Raw genomic sequence first — 4,489 nt, 5'->3', positions numbered from 1 at the left:
TTGCTCTCGGCACCTCCCCTGCCTGGGCTCCCACTTTGGCGGCATTTGAGGAGCCCTTCAGCCCCCCCACTGCACTGTGGGAGCCCCTTTCTGGGCTGGCCAAGGCTGGAGCCCACTCCCTCAGCTTGCAGGGAGGTGTGGAGGGAGAGGCACGAGCGGGAACCCGGGCTGCGTGCGGCGCTTGCAGGCCAGCTGGAGTTCCGGGTGGGCGTGGGCTTGGTGGGCTCCACACTCGGAGCAGCCAGCCAGCCTTGCTGGCCCCGGGCAATGCGGGACTTAGCATCCGGGCCAGTGGCTGCGGAGGGTGTACTGAGTCCCCCAGCAGTGCCGGCCCACCAGCGCTGTGCTCGATTTCTTACCGGGCCTTAGCTGCCTTCCCGTGGGGCAGGGCTTGGGACCTGCAGCCCACCATGCCTGAGCCTCCCACCCACTCCATGGGCTCCTGTGCGGCCCCAGCCTCCCCGACGAGCACCAACCCCTGCTCCACGGTGCCCAGTCCCATCGACCACCCAAGGGCTGAGGAATGCGAGCGCACGGCGCAGGACTGGCAGGCAGTCCACCTGCAGCCCCGGTGCGGGATCCACTAGGTGAAGCCAGCTGGGCTCCTGAGTCTGGTGGGGACGTGGAGAGTCTTTATATCTAGCTCAGGGATTGTAAATACACCAATCAGCACCCTGTGTTTAGCTCAAGGTTTGTGAGTGCACCAATCAATACTCTGTATCTAGCTGCTCTGGTGGGGCCCTGGAGAACGTGTGTGTCAAAACTCTGTATCTAACTAATCTGATGGGGAGGTGGAGAACCTTTGTATCTAGCTCAGGGATTGTAAAAGCACCAGTCAGCAGCCTGACAAAACAGGCCACTCAGCTCTACCAATCAGCAGGATGTGGGTGGGGCCAGATAAGAGAATAAAAGCAGGCTGACCGAGCCAGCATTGGCAACCCGCTGGGGTCCCCTTCCACACTGTGGAAGCTGTGTTCTTTTGCCCTTTGCAATAAATCTTGCTACTGCTCACTCTTTGGGTCCACGTTGCTTTTATGAGCTGTAACACTCATCGCGAAGATCTGCAGCTTCACTCCTGAACCCAGCGAGACCACGAACCCACCAGGAGGAACGAACAACTCCAGACACCCTGCCTTAAGAGCTGTAACACTCACCGCAAAGGTCTGCAGCTTCACTTCTGAGCCAGCAAGACCACTGAACCCACCAGAAGGAAGAAACTCCGAACACATCTGAACATCAGAAGGGACAGACTCCAGACGCGCCACCTTAAGAGCTGTAACACTCACCGCGAGGGTCCACGGCTTCATTCTTGAAGTCTGTGAGACCAAGAACCCATCAATTCCGGACACAGTTGTAAATATACTAAATCATAAATTGTTAACTCACTAACTTACTTTTGCTAAATGTATGACAGATCGTGGTGAATCTGGTATACATGTACCCTGTTGGTGGTACAGTAAATTAATACAGCTCTTTTGATAAACACTATATAGGCTAGTTATCAAAAGTGATTTAAATGCTTACTGCTTTTGACTCAGTAATTTAAAAACTGAAATTCATAGGAAGAAGTTGAGAATATGGTACCTCTATGACTTTAGATGATCAACATAGAGGCAGCTACTACTGATCTCATGAAGTGTCCTTTGGCAACAAAATTGGCTTGATCCAAAATGCTAAGTTTGATGTACTCTTGTGCTTATTTTTTGCCGAGTCCTGCAAATGAACCAATAGGCATTTTGAAATCGAGAGTTACGTAGCCACTCTAACAGAAGGCGCCCTTCCTGTAGCTTGGCTATGTAATGACTGCCTTGTAATTTACAAGTCATATGGGTTCTGTCCGCTAAGTTGTACGCTCTTCCAGAAACATTGTGAGCAACCCACTTTAAAAAAATCCCTGAATGACCCGGGCTCCACCCCTCACAACTCTTTAGCTTTAGGCTTGCTCTGTCTCTTTCCTCCTCTTGCCCTGCTATGCTTCCTTCGCTTCTCTCTTACAACCTTAGCAAAGTGTTTCTGCTCACAAGACCACCAGCTTCAGCACAGCATGGACGCCTCTAATTCAAAACTCCGTCCTGATACATTGTGAACACTATTTTAGTGGTTGTTTGCAAGCCTCTGTTGACACTTATGAAAAAGTAGGTCAAAGGAGTAGAAATGCATGCAGCAATCACTCAGTATGGCCCAAATAATGCCACTAAAAAAATCTGTACAGTCATGATGTTTAAAAATATTTCTCAAATTATACTGATGGTATGGGGGTGAAGTCTGGCAAATTTACTTCTCCTTCTATCCTTGCCTCAGATTCACATCCTCCACGTCTTGTCACCTTCTCCCCAAAGCCTTCCCTGTCCTCTTTAGATTGTTAGAGAAGCACTGTCTCTATGTTCCCTCAGTACACCTAATATTGAACATACCTTTATTATAGCATTTCTTCTTCTGAAGTAATGATGCTTACATGGTTGTGTCCTCTTCTACACTGTATCTCAAGGTGGCATACATTAGGTACTTAATGAGTGTTTGCTGAATGTTTGTTGAATGAATTTATCTCCTTGTGTAATGCTAACCCTCATCAGCTTCCAATTATCCACGCTAATGGAAGGGAAGAGAGGTTTAGGATGATGTGAAATAATTGACAGTTCTAAAATCTGAGATCCCTGATTCAAAAGGCTTGTGTACTCAATAATGCAGTCACACACACACAAACAGCCATGCAGCTAGGAAGGTTTTAGAGGAAGAAGTCAACTGATTCAAATCCTCTCCAGGGTGGATTCGCAAGTCATGGGAAACAGTAAAACTGATGTGTTGGGTTTGCTCTGCCAGAATGCCTTTGCACCAGATACCCTGCATACCCTGTGGTCAAATGTCTTTTCCTGTCATAGCTACAAGCCAACAGCTCCATTGCATTAAAATTGCAGGTAGTTAGTTATATCCTATATGCTTTGACGTCAGTTTAATGCTAGGGCACGTAGAAATAAGGGTGAAGAGGGTAAGCTGGTCTTTGTCCTTGGGGAGGGCCTTGAGTACCATGCTCAATAATGTGAGTTTGAGGAGCCAGTGAAGGTATCCGAGTAAGAGAGCAATATTCATATAAGTGGTTATTGAAGATCCTTGGGTGGCAATGTGAAATGTGGATCTGAGGCAGGAGGAAGATCAGTTGGGAAGGGGTTCAGAGAACAAGTAAAGAAGAAAATCCTGAAATGGAAGTGAGACAGAGCAGGGACCCCTTTTAGGATCCTGCCTTCCCACCCCCAACCCAAGCATGGGAATAAAGGAAAATCTTGAGTTTCTTCAAGGGAAATTCCAGGCACCTAGCTAGCCTTGAGAAATAAATGAGTAATCTAATAGCTTAAAACAATAGCCAAGAAAGTTAGAGTCACAGGATGTTTGGTTCTCTAGAGAAACTAAAGATAACATCTTAACATACCTCGTCCCTGAGTTGTTTTTCAGAAACCTGGACCCGCCCCTACCTTCCCCCGCACCCCACCAAATGGAAAATACTGTCTGCTGGCATGTAGACCTCAAACGGGAGAACTGAGGACTGAACTCTATCATTCTTTGTTCTAAATTTCTTCCTGAGGGCCCTGGAGAAAGTCATGCCCACATGCTAGATCTTAACATTCTTTTCTTCCAACCCCAAATGTTTAGACAAAGCTTTGCTTCCTTAGTGAATTGCAAACCAGAGAGTCTTTGAATCCACCTGTGACCTGTAAAGCCCCAATTCGAGATATACCACCTTTTTAGGCCAAACCAATATATAACCTCCATGTATTGATTTACCATTTTGCTTGTGATTTCTGATTTCCTGAAATTTATCTCAGCCTTTGAAAAAACCTTGCTTGAGGCTGGGCACGGTGGCTCATACCTGTAATCCCAGCACTTCGGGAGGCCAAGGTGGGAGGGTCGCTTAAGCCCAGGAGTTCAAGACCAGCCTGAACAACATGGTGAAACCGGTTTCCATTTCTACTAAAAATACAAAATTAGTCGGGCGATAGTGGTGCATGCCTGTAATCCCAGCTACTCTGGAGGCTGAGGCAGGAGAATCGCTTGAGCCTGGGAGGTGGAGGTTGCAGTGAGCTGAGATCACACTACTGCACACGCTGAACGTGGATGACAGAGTGAGACCCTGTCTCAAAACAAACAAACAAACAAACAACAACAAAACAACAACAACAAAAAGCCTTGCTTGTAAGCCATCAAGTAGGTCAGGTCTGAAGTGTAAACTGCCAGATTCTCCTTGTTTGGGGCCCTGCAAATAAACATCCTCCTTTCTTTTGCTGCAAAACCTCAGGGTGGATGTTTAGCTTTACTGCACAGCATAAGCAAATCCATGTTTGGTTCAGTAAGAGAAGCGGGGAGCATCCTCCTTTGAGGCAGAAAGGGAAAAGTGAAGGATTAGTGATAAAGCACAGTGAGTCCAGGGAAGCTGACAGGCTTCATATGATGCGCGGTTAAGAGGGGAACGTTAAGGGAGGAACACATAAGGTTTCAT

At 47.4% G+C, this 4,489-nt stretch overlaps 2 annotated features.

Annotated features, from left to right (window-relative positions):
- Positions 308 to 835: an enhancer, noted in NCBI's record as "H3K27ac-H3K4me1 hESC enhancer chr1:210071837-210072364 (GRCh37/hg19 assembly coordinates)". NCBI's record gives its function as "activates a minimal SCP1, AML or CMV promoter by ChIP-STARR-seq in naive H9 embryonic stem cells {active_cell/tissue: H9 hESC(naive)}" and the evidence as "EXISTENCE:reporter gene assay evidence [ECO:0000049][PMID:30033119]".
- Positions 2,733 to 3,932: an enhancer, noted in NCBI's record as "BRD4-independent group 4 enhancer chr1:210068740-210069939 (GRCh37/hg19 assembly coordinates)". NCBI's record gives its function as "activates an origin of replication core promoter dependent on BRD2, P300/CBP, MED14 and CDK7 cofactors, and independent of BRD4, by STARR-seq in HCT116 cells {active_cell/tissue: HCT116}" and the evidence as "EXISTENCE:reporter gene assay evidence [ECO:0000049][PMID:35650434]".

The sequence above is a fragment of the Homo sapiens genome, chromosome 1 (assembly GCF_000001405.40).
Source record: "Homo sapiens chromosome 1, GRCh38.p14 Primary Assembly".
NCBI lineage: Eukaryota > Metazoa > Chordata > Mammalia > Primates > Hominidae > Homo > Homo sapiens.
This window is presented reverse-complemented; position numbering and strand designations above follow the sequence as displayed.